A 20,643-nucleotide genomic window follows, 5' to 3' on the forward strand; every position below is an offset into this window, starting at 1 on the left:
TATTTTTGCTTTCTCTGTTCTTTATTCCTTTCTGAAACTTTTAATGTTGAGCATGATTACATGGCTAAATGTACAATAACTCCCCAAAAAAGAGATAGGAACTCTTATGTAAACAAGTAACTATGTCAGAAGCAACCTAATAAGAACAATCTAGAATGTGTCAATTGTATTTCTATATACATGTAGTACTCGAAATTCAGGCTTGAGCTCAAATAATCAATAGAACCCTCATCAAAGTAGTTTGCATTTGAAATTAAATCATGCTTTTATAAATTTTGCATCATTCTATCATTGATGGAGCATACCCTGTTACAACATTAAAATTCCAGTATAACTGTCACATTTCAAGGGGGAAAAAGTTTTAAAGTTATGTTTAGTGAAGGGGATTAAGTCAGAACTATCACATTTCCTTTTCCAAGCACAATGCTCCCAAGAGAACTTGTTAAACTTTATTTCACAATGTAAAGTATGCATTTTAAAACACACCATTTCAATATACAATGAGCACTTTTCATTCACACACTTCTACCTCTGGAAAAAATCTTAAATTATCTATTAATTCAGTGAAGTTGAAAGATATTTTTCTTTTTAATTTAGAAAGCTTAATTAAATGCCAATCTCTTAAATTCCTTGAATCTTTAGATTTTAATCACAAAAGGCACAATTTACTTAGGAAAAAAATACATCTTGAAAGCATCCTACTTAGAAACTACATAGGTAGATTCCAAATAAATTAATTCACAGTAATTTAGCCATATTTATTAAGATATGTAACCACGTGAGTTAAAAGTCTATATTATAAAAACCCATTTTAAAGTTGTTTGTATATGCATACTCAGTAGTGTATATTGAGAACATGATATCAATAAGTAGAAAATCTTGCCCTTTAACACATAAAGATAATTATCTTTAATTAGCAGCATATATATTTTGCTTGCAATTTTTCTTATTTCAAATTTATTGAAACATGTCAAGAATAGTACAGGGAGCTCTGATATACAATATTTATTCAGATTCACTATTAGTTTACACTTTTCCTATTTCCTTTATCATTTTTTCTTTAAATATGCATATAAATTATGTATGAGCATTTGAGAGCAAGTTGGAGATATAGTGCCCCTTTATATCAAAATACTTCAGGTCACATTTTCTATATTACAACAATACTGTTACTAAAATGTGAAAATTTTATATTTATGCAATACTATGTAATTTATAGCCCTTATTCAGATTTTTTTAATTGTCCCAATAATATTTTTTAGAACTAGTTTTTCCTGGCCAGGATCTAATACAGATTCACGCTTTGGATTAATTTATCATGTCTCTTTAGTCTGTAAATTGAAACATTTCTTTAGCCTTTGTTTCTCTTCACTTTGACGTATTTATTTGATGAGTTTAGGCCAGACATTTTGTAAAATGTCTCTCAATTTGATCTTATCTGATGTTTTTTCATGGTCTTATTTAAGTAATTTGTTACTGTCAGGGATGCTAACAAAAGTGATTGTATGTTCTTCTGAGTGTACCATATGGAAAGAAAATTTATGTTGGTTTGTCAAAATTAGTGATGTCAGTTTTGATCATCTCATTCAAGTAGTGTCTACCAGGTTTCTTCAATGTCAAGTTGGCATTTTCCTTTGTAATTAATAAGTAATTTATGGGGCAATAATTTGAAACTGTAAATATCCTGTTTCTTATTAAACTTTTACTAAGTAGCTTTACCGCACATTGATACTTTTGTAAGTTCTTCATCTATTTTCTATCATTGGTATTTCACTTTAAGAAGAAATTTCCCTTCTCCAATTATTTATCAATCCATTTATTTATGTAAGTATGGGCTTCTGTGAATTATCATTTTATTAAATTACTTAAAATTTGTTACTATAATTATTTATTTTGAGGCTCAAATTTTCCTGGAGCTTACCAGTTGGAGTTTCTTCAAGCTGGCTGTTTTATTCTTTTGATTACTTTTTGTTGCAAGGAGATATTACAGTATCAGCTTAAACTTTTCTTTCTTATTTTGCTGGGATTAGTATTTTTAATCATTAATTTATGTGTGTGTACATAATAGTTGTGCATATTTATGGAATAAATTTGATGATTTGGTAGAAGCATACATTATGTAGTGAACAAATCGGGGTAGTTGGGATATCTATTACCTCAAACATTTATAATTTTTGGTGTTGGAAAATTTCTAAATCTACTTCTCTAAATATTTTAAAATATACAATAAATTGTTGCTAACTATACCTACCTTATTGTGCTACAGATCACTAGATCTTATTTCTACTATCTAGCTGTAGTTTTTAGAGATTAACAAATTCTACTTTATCCTTTCATCCTCACTATCCTTCCCAGCTTCTATCATCATTCTAAACTCTACCACCATGAGATCAACTTTTAACTTTCACAAAATTGTAAGAACATGTGATATTTGCCTTTCTGTGCCTGATTTATTTCACTTAACATAATGTCCTCCAGTTCCATCCATGTTGTTACAGTTCCGTCTTTATTTCATGGCCAAATAACATTTATTTCATCCAGTTCCATCCATATTTTATGGCCAAGTAATATTTCACTCTGCATATGTACCACATTTTCTGTTTTCATTCGTCCATTGATGGACACCTATGTTGATTTCATATTTTGAGTATTGTGAATAGTGCTGCAGTAAACATGGGAGAGCAGATATCTCTTCAGTACAGATTTCCTTTTCTTTGGATATATACCAAACAGTAGGATTGCTGGATCATACTATTTAGTAGTTCTATTTAGTTTTTTAAGAAACTTGCATATTGCTTTCTGTAGTGGCTGTGCTTATTTAGATATGTATCAACAGCATATGAGAGTTCCCCTTCTCTACATCTTTGTTATTTTTTCTTTTGTATAAAAGCCATCTTAACTAGGGTGAGATAATAGTTCATTGTTTTGATTTACATTTTTCTGATGATTAGTGATGTTGAGCAGTTTTTCATATACCTGTTGACCATATGATAAAGGCCACATATGACAAACCCACAGCTAATATCATACTGAAAAGAGAAAAACAGAAAGGCTATTCTCTAAGATTGGGATTAAGACAAGATCTGGAATAAGCTGCCTTTCAATACTGTTACTTCACATAGTAGTGAAAGTCCTAGCCAGAGCAATTATGGAAGAGAAAGATATAAGGAACATATGAATTGAATATGAAGTAAAATTGTCACTGTTTTCAGACAATATGATCTTATATTTAGAAAAACTGAAGACTCTACCAAAAAACTATTAGAATTAATAAATGAATTCAGTAAAGTTTCAGATAGAAAATCAGCATAAAAAAGTCAGTGGTATTTATATATTCCAACAGCAGGCACTCTGAAAAACAAAGTAATCTTATTTTCAGTAACTACAAATAAAATGAAATATCTAGGAATAAACTTAACCAATGAAGTGAAAGATTTCTACAATGAAATCTAGGGAACATTGACTAAAGAAATAAAGGAGGACACACTAAAAATGGAAAGATATCTCATGTTCATGGATTGGAAGAATCAATATTGTTAAAATGTTCAGACATTTTAAAATAATGTATATGAAATATTTCACCCAAAGTGATCTACAGATTTAAAGTAATCCCTATCAAAATACCAATGGAATTCTTCAGAGAAATGGAAAAATTATTCTAAAATTTATGTGGGACTAAAAAAGACACTGAATAGCTATAGCTGTCATAAACAAAAAGAACAAAGCTGGAGGCATCACATTACCCAACTTCAAATTATACTACAAGGATATAGTAACCAAACAGCATGATACTGGCATAAAAATAAGATACATAGATGAGTTAAACAGAATAGAGAACCCAGATATAAATCTCCACATTTAGAGTTAACTCATCTTTGACAAAGAAGCCAAGAACATACACTGGGAAAAGGATAGTTCCTTCAACAAATGGTGCTTTGATAAACTGGATATCCATACAAAGATAAATGAAACAGGATTGCTATCCCTCACCACATCCAAAATGGAATCAAAATGGATTAACAACTTACATGTAAATCTAAAACTGTAAAACTGTTGGAAGAAAATTTTGAGGAAATGCTTCAGGATATTGGTCTGGGCAAAGACTTCTTGTGAAAGAACTCAAAAGCACAGGCAACCAAAGCACATGTCGACAAATAGGATTACATGCAGCTGAAAAGCTTCTCCACTTTAAAGGGAGCAATCAACAAAGTGAAGAGATGCCCCACAGAATGAAGAAAATATTTGCAACTATTCAAGTGACAAGAAATTAATAAGCAGAATATTTAAGTAACTCAAATAATAACAAATAAACCAATAATCCAATTTAAAAATGAAAAGAAATCTGAATATATACCTGAAATATCTGAAGACAAACTTTATTTTCCTATCTATCCCTTATATAAATTTTTAAGACTTACTTAAAAACATTTTGGTGCAACGAGACATTCCAGGATGGAATTATAATGGAGCCTTGGTTTCTTTTAACGGAGAATGGTGTTTAGAAAACAAAATTTGGATGTTAGGAGCACTCATTGTTCCTTGTGTTTCAATGTTTCTAGGTCTTCTAAGCAAACAAAGCTAGAATCAGTTACAAATGTATTATAAAAATATTTCTATGCTACAGGCTATAATTTAATTTCCTCGCTTAAGTTTTTTTTAATTCCCCTTTTCCAGTGAGCTCTCATTAGCCTCAATCTTTTAAACTGAAGTCTAGAATACTGTACTCAATACTTGGAAATTACTTACAGAATTGCTAGCACACACCACTGTGAAAAGTGAAGTATGTAAATTCAATGTTTTTAAAGATTTTTTCAATTTGAGATAAAATTTATACACGGTGCAATCTGTAGATTTTAAATGTACAATTAAATTTGTTTTCAATATTGTGAATATCCATTTCAAATTTAAATAAGTAAATACCCTAAAACCCCATAAGTTTTGAATAAGTGAGTACTCATGTTACAGGAAAGGGGCCCTCATCCAGACCCCAAGAGAGGGTTCTTGGATCTTGTGCAAGAAATAATTCAGGGTGAGTCTGCAATGTAAACTGAAAGCAAGCTAATATTAAGAAAGTAAAGGAATAAAAGAATGGCTACTCCATAGACAGAGCAGCCCTGAGTGCTGCTTGTTGCCCATTTTTATGGCTATTTCTTGATGATATGCTAAACAAGAGGTGGATTATTCATGCCTCCCATATTTAGAACATATAGGGTAACTTCCTGGTGTTGACATGGCATTTGTAAACTATCATGGCGCTGGTGGGAGTGTAGCAGTGAGGACAACCAGAGGTCACTCTCGTCACCATTTTGGTTTTGGTGGGTTTTGGCCAGCTTCTTTACTGCAACCTGTTTTATCAGCAAGGTCTTTATGGCCTGTATTTTGTGCTGACCTCCTATCTCATCCTGTGACTTAGAATGCCTTAACCCTCTGGGAATGCAGCCCAGTAAGTTTCAGCCTCATTTTACCCAGCTCCTATTTAAGATGAAGTTGCTCTGGTTCACATGCCCCTGACATTTCCCCACTCCCTTTTATAAGAGAACCCTTAATTCTAAGGGTTACAGAGGGATAAACATCCATCTTCTGTAACTTCTTCAGGCTGAATAGGGGTGATGATATTCCAGCCTAACTATGAGGGTCTGTTGCATTCAGGGTAGAGAGGGGCTCAGTCAGAAAGCATCAGTATGGTAAGGTCCACTCAACTCTTAAGTTTTGACAAAAGGTGATATCCCTCTTGTTTCTCATGAGCAGCAGTCAGAGATCAGTGGTTGGTTCACAGGAATAAGCAGGGTTAGCCTAAATTGTAGAAACAAGCTTAAAAACAACTAATGAGACTAGAATTTAATAACAAGTTTACCAAAGTTCTTGAAAAATAATATTTCTGTCTCCAGTTTCTCATTTTTACTAAAGACTAATCATGTTAAGAGTTATTTCCTTTATTATACTTGGCCTGATTATTTGTATAAAGTGCAGCAAGAATAATTATTTTTCACAGAGGCTCTTTTTAAATTGGCTTTGATGGAACTCCGTTCCATAGAAGGAATCTTAGCTAAGACTTTTTAAAGCTAAGATCAGCCATGGGTTTGTACCCTCAAATACCTAAGAGTTGAATAAATTCCTCTCCTCTTGGGGTCCCAAGATAACTTGGGGCTCCTGGACCTGTTGGAAAGTGACATTCTTTACTTACCCCGGGTCAGAAACCCTGTACAGGGACTGTTGCAGACAAGGTATGAGGCCAATTTTTCACAGAACTTTTAATGGCTTTACAAGTCAAGTTTGATTCCTTAAAGGAAAGCATACCATTCCAGTTAAAGCCTTGGTAAAATAATCAATTTCTCCAATTGTATCCTGTTAAAAAAGAAAACAGATTCTTATTGCACTTATGCAAATAACTATATTGCCATAAATTAAGAATACTCACAGTTTCCAGTTTTGGAGAAAACAGGTAGAGAGAATCAAATATGCTCCAAATTTTGTTCACAGGAGTATACTTTACTCAATTGCTAAAAGCTGTATATAGCTCAAAAGAAAAGTGTCCTTGATTCTGAAAAATAAAGGATCAGCAGCATTTTAAACACAGTTAAAAAATTACTTCTGTTTTCTGTTGGTTCAGTTAATTCAGTTAACTCCCATTCTATTTGATATTCATGAACATTCTAGTTCTTCATGAGAAATGGCTGAATTGAGCTGATTAATACATACATTATCTCACACACTTATTTTTGTGGTGAGAATACTTAAAAGCTGTTCTTTAGCAAGTTTCAAGAATACAATGCATTGTTATTAACTCTAGGCATTATGTTGTACAATAGATTGAATTTACTCCTCTTATCTAAATGAAGTTTTTCTCTTTTTTACTAACATCTCCCCACTCTCTATCTCCCTATCCCAGCTTTGATAACCACCGTTCTCCGTTGTACTTCCATAAGTTCAAATTTTTTACTCTTCCTATATAAGTGAGATTATGCAGTACTTGCCTTTCTGAGCATGGCTTATTTTACTTAACATAATTCCCTCCAGGTTCATCCATGTTGTCTCAAATAAAAAGAGTTTGATTGTGTCCAAGAGTCCAAAAGCTGAAGAACTTGGAGTCTGATGTTCAAAGGCAGGAAGCATCCAGCATGGGATAAAGATGAAGGCTGGAAAATGCAGCAAGTCAGCTTCTTCTACCTTACTCTGCCTGCTTTTTCTAGCCACGCTGGCAGCCAATTCGATGGTGCCCACCCACATTGTGGGTGGGTCTTCCTGAGTGTGGGTCTTCTTCTCCAATTTCACTGACTCAAATGTTAATCTCTTCTGGCAACATTCAAGAAACATGCAGATACAGCCAGAAACAATACTTTCCATCCTTCAACCAAATCTAGTTGACACTTAATATTAACCATCACATATGCAGTCACAATCCTTGGGAGATACTGGAAAGTGGGCATTTTGACCTGCTTACTCTGCACTGAGCTAGGGAAAATTGTGCCTGTTTGAAACCACCTCTTTCTTTCATTTGGTCACGGGGGACTTGTAAATTCTGAACCTAGTTGGCTCTCAAAAGTAGCTGATTTAAGAACCAGTCCATTTGATGGCAACTATAAAACTTGGAGTGCTCAATGTGTGGACAAAGTCTTTCAAGGAAGAGGCTGGAGATTTCGTTTTATCACTAGTGTGAGCAGTGGGGAAAAGGCCCAGGAAGTGCCTCATGCATGTTCAGGCTCCAGGCAGTGGGGAGTAGGAGAGTTCTTACTAATTACCTGTCATGTCAATTCTCAGATGCCAGCTAGTAAGAAGACATATTCTGAGACATCAGCTGAGTAAGTGTACAGTCAGATTCCTTCCAGGGAGAAACTAGGATGTGGGCATTGTTGCCTGCTTGTTCTACACTGAGCCCAGAGGAATTTAGTAGAGAGTGCTTACATACCTGTTTAAGGCAACCACTTTGTTCTCCTTGTTTTAGAAAAAACTCATGGATGCTGAGCCACATTCACTCCTAGGGTGATTTAGGAGTCTTTCTCTTAAGTGAGAGCTGTAAAAGTCAGGGTGCTGTATGTGTGGTCTAAACCCTTCTCTCCTCGGGGAGAAGCTTGGAGTTTGGGGTTCCCTCCAATTTTAAGGTGCTGTGACCAGGGTAGATTTTGTGACGTAAGCATGTCTCAGCTTTTCCTGCCCATTTTGATGTGAATACTTTTTTAGTTGCAGTGTGTAGGAGTCACTGAACTAGCTCCTGAATTTTTCTTAGAGGAAATGGACCTGTGTGCAGCTCTTTACTTGTGCATCTCTGGGAGGAGGTCAAGTGGGGAGCTTCCTATTCTGCCATCTTGCTGACCTCTTCTCTGCTCATTTCTTTTTAGTGTTGAATAATATTCCATTATCTGGATGTACCACACTGCATCTATTCACATATTGAAAAGGATTTTAGTTGCTTCTAAGATTTTGTAATTGAATAAATAAAACTTCTATGAACATCCATGTGCAGGTTCTTGTGTGGACATAAATTTTCAATTCCTTTGGGTAAATATAAAGGAACGTGATTGCTGGATCATATAGTAAGAGTATGTTTAGTTTTGCAAGACACCAAAATACCTTCTAAGTGGCCGTGGCATTTTGCATTCTCATCAGCAATAAATGAGAGTTCCTACTGCTCCACATCTTCACTGACATTGTGTGGTCAGTCCAGGGTCCCATGTTTTGGCCATTCTAATAGGTAGACAGCAGTAACTCATTGTTTTAACTTGCAATTACCTGATGCTGTATCAGTGGAGCATCTTTTCATATGCATATTTCCTACCTATGTAGCATTTTTTAGTGAGCTGTCTGTTAAAGTCTTTGGACCATTTTTAAATTGAATTATGTATTATCTTATTGTTAAGCTTCAAGAGTTACCTGTCCATTTTAGATAACAGATTTTTATCAGATGTATCTTTAGCAAATATGTTTTTCCTGCCTATGGCTTGTCTTCTCATTCTCTTAATATATTTTGCAGAGCTGAAGTTTTTAACTTTTATGAAATTCTGTTTAACAATTAATTTTTTCATGGGTTATACCTTTGAGATGTACCTAAAAATCATCACCATATTTAAGGTTATCTAAGTTTTCTTCTATGTTATCTTCCAGTGGTTTTATAGTTTTACATTTTACATTTAGATCTCTGGTTCATTTTGAGCTAATTTTTCTAAGAGATGTAATATCTATGTCTTCATTCATTCTTTTTGCATGTAGATGCCCAGTTGTTCTGGCATTATTCATTGACAATACTTTCTTTGCACCTTTATCACAGGTTAGTTGATTATATTCATGTGAGTCTATTTCTGAACTCTCTGTTCTGTTCTTTTGGTCTGTTTGTCTAATCTTTCACCAATACGACATTGTCTTGTTTACTGTAGCTTTATAGTAAGCCTTGTAGTCCAGTAGTGTTATTCCTCCATTTTGTTCTTGTCTTTCAATATTGTGATGGCTATTCTGAGTCTTTTATTTCTCCACATAAACTTTGGATTCAGTTCACAAATAACCACAAAATAACTTGCTGGAATTTTAATTGAGATTGCATTGAATCTATAGATAAAATGAGGAAGAACTGACATCTTGACAGTATCAGGATTGTCTTTCCATGAACCTGGAGTATTTTTCCATTTATTTGGTTATTCTTTTATATCTTTAATCAGATTTTTATGTTTCCTTATTTAGATCTTCTATTTTTTAAGACTGTATCTAAGTATTTAATTTTAGGGGGTGCTAATGTAAATGGAATTTTGTTTTTAATAAAATTATACTTTTTTATTGCTAGTATAGAGGAAAGCAATTTACTTTCTTTTATTAATCTTCAATTCTGTAACCTTGCTATACCTGCTTACTAGCTACAGAAGATTTTTCTTAAATTTTTAAAAAATTTTCTGCATAGACAATTGTGCCAACTGTGAACAAAGACCACTGTATTTCTTCCTTTTCATCTGTATATATTTTATCCCATTTTTGTCTTACTGCATCAGCTAGTGCTTGCTGTGTGATGTTGAAAAGAAATAATATGAGACACCCTTGCCTTGTTACTAATCTTAGTGAGAAAGCTTCACATTTATCACCATTACTTTTTATGTTAGCTATAGGATTTTTGAATTTATTCTTTATCACGTTGAAGATGATCCCCTCTATTCCTAGTTTACTGAGATATTTTATCATGAATGGGTGTTCGATTTTGTCAAATGCTTTTTCTGCGTGTATTGATAAGATCGTGTAATTTTTCTTTTTCAGCCTATTGATGTGATGAGTTGCATTAGTGGATTTTTAAATGTTGGTCAGTCTTGCATATTTGTGATAAATCTCACTTGGTAGTGGTATATACTGTTTTATATACATTGTTGGATTAATTTTCTAATGTTTTATTGAGAATTTTTGCATTTATGTTCATGAGAGTTATTGGCCTGCAGTTTTCTTTTAGTGTCTTTGGTGTTTTAATTCAATTATCAAATTTCTATTGCTGATATTCTCATATATGGTTTCATTTTAATTGTGTTTTGAAGTTCTTGAATACATTTAAAATAGCTGTATTAAAGATCTATGTACAAATCCCACTCTCTGAATTCTGACTATTTTTCATTTCCTGTCTATTTAAATGTCTAATTATGTATAGTTGTTTTCTGGACGTTCAGATAAAAGATATATAGGGTGTTGATTGTGATGTTATTAAATTATTAACATTATTTTGTTTCTATCAAAATTGGTTTAATTTTCAGTTTAAGTCTCTTTTATATGTGAACAGAGTTCTAAGACATGCTCTTCCTCCACTGCATTGTTTTTATTCCTCAGTTGTGAACTTTCTGCTGACTTAACTGAGTTTGTGGTGTCTTCAATGAGGTCTCCACACCTTGACTGAGATGAAAAGATTAAGTCAATGATACTACTATTCAGCTGTCAGTTCTTTGGCAGGTGTTATATGCTAGGTCTTTTATAATCTCACTATGTGTATGCTCATACATATTTGTGGAGTTGCCTTCTTACACAGATTCCAACTTTTCGGATACTGTGTTACAAATTCTAGCTGCTTTGCCTCAGCAGCCTGGAACTCTTGCTTCAGCCACCTTAGCTCACAAAAACTTCTCCACTTTTAGTCCACTTTCCTGCTTGACTTTAGACAAAGGGTTCAAAGAAAAAGCCAAGGCAATTTTAATATGATTGATAGGCTCACCTTACTTTTCTTTCTTCCTTCAAGGGTCACAGACCTGTGTTACTTTCTCAAGGTATCCGCATACTGTTGCTTTATATATTTTGTTCAATTTTATAGCTGCTTTTAGTAGGAAACCAAGTTCAGTATCAATTACTCTGTTTTGGCCAACACCTGAAGTCAGCAGCATCTGTTTTCACATGAAAATTAGCATATGACTTCATAAAACTTACTTTCTTGAGTAGATTAAAGCAGACTTGAGCAGTATGAGTGAATTTTCCTGGTGTGTATATGTGCATTATTTAAATTGTCTAGATACCATGCCAAACACTCTAGCTCTATCTTGTCATGTGGTGCTTTATTTTTCATTTTGTAAAATTGTATCAATGACCACCAACTTTCTAAAGCTGTTTAAGAAATAAAGAAGATAATCCACATAAAATTTCTTTGTAAGCTATAAAGTGCTAAAAAATGAAAGTTATTATTATAGGGCAAAAATAAACATTTTTGTTCAGTCTTTGATTATAAGTTCCAACAGAAAGAAACTAGAATTGGTTATTCCTAATGGCATTTTTCCCCTTTAAATTTTTACAACAGCATTAAACTGGAGAAAATAAAAGACTTATTTTATTTTTGCTGAGCAAGGGAAGATGATCTAACTATTCTAAGTTAAAAAGGATTTGGAAGAATAACAACTGTCCTGAAGTGTATATTAATTCCTTAAATGTATGCAGCTCTAAAATTGTAAGCAAGTCCATAGACTAGTGCTGATTATTTTACAAAATATTCTATCACCTTCAAATCCAGGTTTTTGCCTGGTGACTTTCTTACTCTATTTTTTACCTACTATATAATGTCAGAGTACCTAATTCTTGAAGTCATTAGAAGACATTTAATAATGGCACCAATACTTTTTCTTTCAATATTTAAACCTGTTTCTAACTTAAATTATTCTTTTTGTTGATAATGAGTTATTTTATTTACAAGTTGAATATAGTGGCATCATTTTTTAGAACAATGTAGTGAGACATTTAAGAAATGAATTATTTTATTTACCAGAATATTTTCCCCAAGGTTCTCATTTGGGAGGAAATTAATTTCTTAAAAATACAAGCCAAATAGGTTAGTCATAATTTTATGATAAAAAATAACAGTCACATAAAAATTTTGGCATGGAACACAAAATCCTATTAGTAGCAAACATCTGTGACAGTCTAAGAGTGGCACATACCACGGGAACCTACTGCAGTGCTAATCATTCTTCTAAGTTATTTTTGGGGATATGGAGGAGAAATTCTGTTGTCTCAAATAGGGACATGAACTTCTCCTCAATTTAGCAAAATTAATTTAAATTGGCTGGCAGCTTATCACACCATATGTAGGGGGTATTCCTAAGAAGTAAAAAGACACAAGAAAAAAAAAACCCTTTAAAGAGGTAAAAACTCCATTGTAGAAGAAAAGAGAAGCATGGTAGTCATTAAGCAATCTAAGACCATCTTTTTTCCCAGAGCTCTAAGAGATATTGTTGCTCTCCGTTTTCTCATGCTTATCTCTATTGGCAGAGTGGTCTGAACAGCAGGGGAAAACAATTGCAAAAGGTATAGTAATTAGTTTTGAATCTTACAGAGAGAGACAGAGTAAATAAATACCACAGGTGCTGTCTCTTAAATGAGGCAAGAAGAGTCAAAATAATAATTAGCCCATATAACAGGTAAAGGCACAAGAAAGAAGTGGAAAGAGAAGACAGAGTGAAGAAATAATATAAATTTGATATTAAGTATCTCTTGATTAGAAATCCTTATGTGGAGACAGCATGAAAATTCTCTTTGTAATGGGATATTCAGTTGTGCATGCAAAGAGAAAACAAATACATAAAGTTTTTCAATGCGTGATCCTCATTACCATACCAGTACCCAAGCATAATCAGTTCCAATTAGTTGGTCCCAATTAATCAACAATCCCAAGTAAGCTAACAAAACCTCATGATGTCTATTTAGCGTGTCCAGCAAAATCTATTAGGAAAGAGAAGGTATAAGAAATGGGTTGGAATATGTTTCTCTATTTGTTTTCCTTGTAAAAAGAAGGAGGAACACTAACACTTTTTATCTTATCAGTGATTTGCGTTGATTGAAAAGATGATAGAGTTGCCTGATGCATTCTGAGACCCATGCAGGTAAATGTCTACACATGTGGATGGGAATTCAAGAGTCCGTTGAGCCCCAATTTTTTTTTTGACACTTATGTTCTGTTAGTATTTTTCCTTCCATTTACCCTGCATTTCAGAGCAAAGCTAGATCTATTAAGTGTCATTTACAACAATGTACAACTTGTGCTAGCAAACATTATTCAGGTTAGAAGGTAATTTACAGTTGGTCAGAGGAACATAGGCTGCTAAATTTTATTTTTTATCAGTACCATGTGTGTCATTTCTGGTATAGTTTAGATTGAACTAAATTGAATAGAATGATCTGAGAATATTAGCATTATTTGTCTTTCTGTACTTCTTCCTTTCTTTCACATTACTTCTTTCTTTTAAGAAATACTTTTCAAAAACTACATAAATCATTTACAAAATAACTATTAAAATAAAGTTTATTTAGAATTACTCTTATTTCCCTGGCATTTATCTTAAATGTCAACACTACATGCTACATATGCCCAGATTTATCATAAGGTATCCAGTAGTTAAAATATGTAAATATTTTATTGAAAATGTGTGTATCTATTTTTAAATGTCTTTTAGCCATATTTTGTGTTTAAAGAACAACATCTACCTTTTTATATTTAGGTTCAAAAAACTGGGGGGGTTAAAAAATACATATTTGTCATAGACCTCTAAAATCATGAATGTTTCTTCTTTCGTTTATCAAATATCTACTGAATAATGTTTATATACTCAGCTTTTGACTAGCATTTAGGTGTGCATAGATATATAAAATAGCCTCTGAAGATATACACAAATATTTATAGTAAAATATATCACATGGAATACTAGATATCTAAACAGAATATATTGGGAGCAAAAAAAAGGTTTTGTAAATGTTTATCGAAAAGGTGGAGAAATTCCACATAAATTGTTAACATTTACATCTGGGATTTCAGGGTGAGCTGGATATCTCAGGGAGCACAGGGTGGTGGGTAGGAGTAGGGCATGTCAGAAACATTCAACATCATGAGCTAGGAAGAGACGAGGAAAGGTAAGGGAAAATGTATTTATTCATGTAGCAAATAGCTATTGAGCATGAGACTCTGTGCTATGTGCTAGACACTGTTCCTAGGCAGTGGAAATACAGCAGTGAACAAAACAGAAAATACACAGCCTCATTGAACAGAGAGTCTAGGAGCCTTACACTGACTTTTGTCTGTGAAGGAGCTTGAATGCTATTCTAAGGAGTTTTACATTCATTGGATTGAACATTATATACAATTGAGGTTTTATTTAGTTAGGTAGTGGCATGATCAGATGCACATATCAGAACACAAACTCTGTGGCATTTTAACAGATAGACCGTGAAGAATGATGAAAGGTGAACTGATATTAAAGCAGCCTGGAACCAAATTAAAGAAGGCATGGAAGGTGTAGAAAGAAGATAATAAAACAAAGGTGTTTAGAAGATAGTTTTTTTTTAATACACGGGGTCTAATAGAATTGGACTACATTAAACAAATATGAATTTTACATTTCTAGCGTAAGTGCCTGAATCTTTCTAATTCGTGGTGTGGTGCTAAATTAACTCCTTTTATTTATTGAATTTTTTATAGAGAATAAAGTAAATGCAGATTTGGATGTGAACATAAAGGAGGAAAATGAGATGAGCGATAATGCTGAAATGCTGATGTATGTGCAATCTAGAATTCAGGAAAAAAGCCTGAGCTGGAGCCATCTACTCTGTGGAAGTTGAAATTATGGAGCTAGAAGTCCTGTATTAAAAAGAAGCAAAGATATTAGAGATTTTTAAAAGCAGGATACTTAGATGAAGTCATCAGTCTCCTTCCTCCTCCTCCTCCTCCTCCTCTTCCCCTTCCTCCTCCTTCCCCCTTCCTCCTTCTCCCCCTCCTCCTTCTCCTCCCCTTTCTCCTCCTTCCCCTCCTCCTCCCCCTCCCCCTCCTCCTCTTCCTTCTTCTTCCTTCCTTCTTCCTTCTTCCCTCTTCCTCTTCCTCCTCCTCTTCTTCTTCTGCTTCTTCTTCCTCTTCTTCTCTTTTTAGTGGAGCCCCTTATGAGCTGTCAACCCTACAAAGTAGAGCTAGTTATTGGTCTGATTATTAGACTAAAAATTTGTGGTTGGAAAGGATTCTATTTCTAAATATAAACAGCACTAGAGTTTATTCAAAATTATTTTTTCATACACATTATGTAGAAAAAGATTCTCCTAAAGGTTGTTTTTGCTTAAGAAACTCTTGTTGCACAAATTGGTATATTCTGTATTAACTGTGATATCCCACTGGTTAAATGCTTGAATAATAAATATTATAATTGTTTATCATGTTCCCAATACAAAGCTAGATGCTGGGGTACACCTCCACCTCACCTATTCATCACACCTGAGAACTGCTCAGAAACCAGCATTGAAATTGATGGTTAGATACCTGAAAATACCTGTTTCTATGTTAAATGAACCTTTGAAATGGTTTACAATTTCATCTCCAGGTTGTACTCTGTATGGCATGAGAATTTAGCTTCTAGCTTTTTGAAGGAATAAGTTATAAGCCAGTCTGGCAGTTGAGTAGAGGACAATACTATGGTTAGGATTTTCAGTAGTTTCCTCAGAAAACAGGATTGATGTTTCCATTAGGACACAATGCTATAAATACAGCTGTTTACTGCTGCCTGCTATTATTGTGTGCCAGGCACTGTACATAACACATATACAGTACACTGTACTCCAACAAATCTCAGAATCATCTTGCTTTTGGCAGTGAGTAGGGTAAACATTGTCTACAAGGCTGACATTCCAAATGTGCTTGTCCTTAAATGAGGAGAAGGATTATGGGGCAGGAGAATTCACTAGACTTATCTTAATTGATGAAGATAATATTTAAAAATAGATTGGAAGGTATAATATCAATTTATATTTGAAAAAAATCCCAATCTTTTTAAAATGCAAATTATAGAGAGTAAAACACTCTGGATTTTGAACTGGGTTAACATGAATGTAAAAGATTGAGGGACTTTGTGTTAATAAATCTTACCTTCTACCTCCCCAGCCCTACACATACCTTATCAACTGGATATGCCTTAAAGATATTAAAACCAAAACTAACTTGAAATTCAAATCCCTAAACATGGTCATAAAATCACCAGACATACTCTGTTTCTGTTTTCCACCTTTAGTCCTTCACCCCAGCCAAACCATGCCACACCAAGCTTCTTCCCTACCGTGCTTCTCCACCATAGCCACTGCCATTTTATCTTTCCCAGAGTTCCCGGAGCCTTCACTGTCTTCATGATTAGATCCCTCCATACTCTCCATCACTAATGCCTTGGCTGGAGATTACCATTCAGAGACCATGTACTGAGCAGATAAATGCCAATCATCACAGCATTGTCTCAGGTATCATCATTGACTCTGGGATTAAGAAACAATATGTCACTATCCTAAAAGTTAACCAAGTTATAACTCAAGAGATCGTATGATCTGTTCTAGACCACACAAGTCAACATCTGTTATAATTAATGTTAATTTGGTTTCAAAGGACAAAAAATATATAAGCTAAAGTTAAAAAGAAGGGTCTTCAGAATATGAGAAATGTCGTAAGATACTTTACAAGAAATACAACGTCTCATGTTAGTCAGTCATTAGTCACTTTTCTCTCTTCTGTCCCTGCCTTCTGCCCGCTCTGACCCTTTGTTTTATTCCCTCTCAGTTGTCACATATTTTTGCTTCTCTCTGCATATTTGCTGTATTCATTTCTGTGTACACTGGCTTTCTCTACAATAATTTTATTTTTTATTCTTCTCAATCTTAGCTTTCCATTAGCTTTGCTTCAGCATAGCAAATTCTGGTGCTAAATCTAACATTCTAAAGCCTAACATTGTAAGCCTATAATTTATTTATTTATTATTTTGAGATAGATTTTCTCTCTGTCATCCAGACTGGAGTGCAGTGGCACAATCATAGCTCACTGCAGCCTTGAACTCCTAGGCTCAAGCAGTCTTCCTGCCTCAGCCTCCCAAAGTGCATGGATTAAAGGCATTTAGTCACCAAGCCAAGCCTAAATTTATAGTATAGAGATGGAATATGGTCACCCTTGCCCAACCTCATCCTTGAGCTGAGAACCTGTGGTGTTGGATCAGTGAATACGGCAGTATCACAGAATAAAAGTCTGTTCATATGAGCCCCTCATGCTGCCCTGGACTGCTAGTGGGGCCGTATTCTAAGAAAAGGGAATTTAGAGGGAAAACAGTCATAATTATAGCAGCAGAGTCAGGTCAACTCTCCTCTGATTTCAGTCTTTGCACTTTCCACTACCCCTGGTTGAGCAAATGTCTATGTTTTTATCATCTTTGTATTCCCACAACACTTTACAAAACATCTAGAAATTGCAGATGCTGATAAAATGTTGGTTGATGTGATGACCTTGAAGTGAATCAAACTAACATTTGCAGGTCTTTGATATTTCCCAGCCTTTCCATCTGAGAGTCAACTTTCAGTTGACTGTTAGCCAAGGTTTCCTTGAGCCAAATCCCTAGGCAGTAGTGAGAGGGAGAAATGAGAGAGACAAGGAGGGTTTTTAAGATCTATGATTAGGTTTCACGAGCAGCATTTTGAACTTGGAATAAAGGAGAACACAGAAATGAAAACTCATTCTGCCATATGGTTCCTGGACATTCTTGTGCAACTGCCAGAAAAAAAAAATGATTAAAAAAAAAAAAACCCACAAAACAACAAGGCAGCAATTGTGACAGAATAATGGAAGTCCAAATTACAGAGGCAAGGTTCTTCTTCTGTCCTCCCTCCAGGCCTAAATGAATAAAGGCATGACACTGAGATTGAAGGCTAGTTCTACTTCAGAACCACAGAGACATGAGCACCAGCAAGTTTGAGGTTGGATAAGGATCTTCAGAACTCCTCAGCTTCAGATGGTCAAGCACTGCTTCCTCCCTTCTTCAACGGCATCTCTAGCATGTATACTTCCCTTAAATCCACCTTCGTAGCATTTGCTGATGGTAATTCAGGGACTAGAAAAGCAAACTTTTAGAGATTTAATTTTTTTCTTTCTTTCCCTTGAAACTCAGGTCTTATTATTTCCCCATTTCCCTTCTTTCACACCCTGGGAAGTCCCCAGAGAAATTCACCAGTCTGGTCTGCACTGTAGTTTGGGTTGGCAGATGCTGCAGAGTTGTAAGAACCATCTATTTTTTTCCTCTTTTGCACCATTCCCTCTTCTGTTTACTTATCATCTCAAATGTTTACAATCCAGTGAGAGGCCATATAAATTTATTAAACCTCCCTGTTGTTTTTCTTTTCCTTTAAAAGAGATGTTATTTTAAGTTTTTCTTTCAGTTTCTTCTGATTTTCAGAATAGTTCCTCGGGGCTCTCATTATTTGGATCTCCTACTGACTTAATCTGCTCTGGAGCAAGGAGCTTGGAATTTCTTTGACTTTAAGCTGCAGCATTAATCTTTCGCCCAGCCTTAAAGGGTTTAGGGTGGAGTCTCTTCCAAAGGAGTTGCTGCCTGTGTAGCTACCAGGTTAGCAGCAAAGAAACCATATCTGGTCTCCTCTGTGGAAAGCAATCTGCCCCCTGCCAGCAGCTCAGCTTTGCAGCCACAGCAGAGCAAGCCCTGTGTTAGCTGGGGGACATTTCCAGCGAGAGGGACGGCAGGGGAAATGATGTGGACTCCATCAAGGGGAGAACTGCTCATCCATATCATCTAATTCCAGGAAGAGGCACAACAGAGTCCATGCCTTCACCTCCTCTGGCCAACTCTAATCATGAATCTCCTGTGAATCAGCTGGGAAACATGCAGAGTAATTGCTTCCCTCATGTTCTTCTTAGATTTTTTAAATGAGGATTTTAATTTCCACACCACTGTTTTCTGACCTCTCCATTCTTTCCTTTCCTCTTTCTTGTGCACAGATATGAGATTGGGGCCCTCATTCATACTAACTGGAATTTTCCTTGGCAATGGTAGAACAGAAGCTTCTCCATTCTTTACAGATGAATTTGCTTTAAGTAAGATCTTCCCAGAGTACAAAAGAAATTTATTCGGAAAATTTCAAACTAATGTGAGTGTGTCTTTTTTATAAACTTTGATAATTTCTACTTCAGAGGCAGAGTTTTGTTAGATTGATAATTAATTCTCCACAGCTCTCAGAAAAATGTCTTGCATATATTATGCATTTGATGAATAATTATTGAATACATGAATATAGACATATCTATAGAGTAACCTGGTCAATTTTTATGGATGACATCATATGTTTCGCCATACAGAGCTCCATTATGCTGTGTCTATACAACAAACAGCACTGCATTCATGTTGAGTGCAAGTATGACTTCACCATTGAATATTTTTTATCTGAATTGATCGTTTTAACCTGCTCTTCTCTAACTGTGATACCATCATGACTAGAATCCTCTCAGCTCATTCTCCTCTTTCATTTTGTCCTTTTCCCTTTATTCTTGCTGTTTAATGTGATTCTCTCATTGGCGACATGGGCTCCCCTCAATTACGACTCTATCATTTTCCATGACAGATGGCCTTCTCACTGGAACTGGATCCACCATCCCTTTTGCTCAGTGTCGTCTTGTTTATGTTTTAGATCCTTTGCAAGGTGAGCTACACCTCTGAGAGGAGCTCCTGGAAATTACCAGATACTTAATGTTGCCAGCTGTTACAGATGGAGGTGATGCACCTTGATGATGCATAAGTACTGAGCCTGAATCCTACAAATGGGAAAAGGTGCTCATATCAGACTTATGCATTAGATATCAAACTACAAAATACAAGTGCAGTTGATACCTGTTTAGATGATGTAGAGCAAGGTAACAGAGTATGTATTAAAAGCAAAAATTCCCATGAAGCTGAACCGTTACTCTCTGCCAAAACCTCCCACTCTCAAGTTTTAAGAGCCAATAAACCTTGTATCTGTACGTTCAGCTTTGCCTTTTTTTTCCCAGGACTGTAAACCTCTGTCAAGGTTTACCATGTTTCATTGATTTTATTTTTTCTAGCACCAACATAATGCTCATATAGTAATGAGGATGAAATAATTTATTTTTTTCCTGCTCATCGTGTCATTGTGAATGTTCTGCTATCATACAAAAAAAACCACACTTTATTTAAAAATATTTGCTGAGCAAATATAAACCACTGTGCATTTTTCTGAGCACCAGTAAGACAGCCAAGTATAAAGGGGTCCCCAAAGAAACTCTGACCAGCCTGCACACTTGGAGGAGTGTACACTGGGGTGGAGCCTTGGGAAGTTCATGCTGTTTGCAGTGGGGAGGAGCCTGGCCTCTCCTGATCTGGGGTGGTAAACTGAGATTCAATCTGT

The 20,643-nt window shown here is 35.0% G+C and overlaps 1 long non-coding RNA gene across 1 annotated transcript; it reads left to right on the plus strand.

Moving 5' to 3' along the window:
• Nucleotides 1-18,091: 18,091 nt before the first annotated feature.
• Nucleotides 18,092-20,239, plus strand: LINC02876 (long intergenic non-protein coding RNA 2876). The gene is made up of 4 exons (NR_164143.1): nucleotides 18,092-18,308; nucleotides 19,027-19,113; nucleotides 19,223-19,371; nucleotides 19,843-20,239. It is a non-coding gene; the product is annotated as a long intergenic non-protein coding RNA 2876 (long non-coding RNA).
• Nucleotides 20,240-20,643: the final 404 nt, after the last annotated feature.

This window comes from Homo sapiens, chromosome 17 (assembly GCF_000001405.40).
Source record: "Homo sapiens chromosome 17, GRCh38.p14 Primary Assembly".
Taxonomy (NCBI): Eukaryota; Metazoa; Chordata; class Mammalia; order Primates; family Hominidae; genus Homo; species Homo sapiens.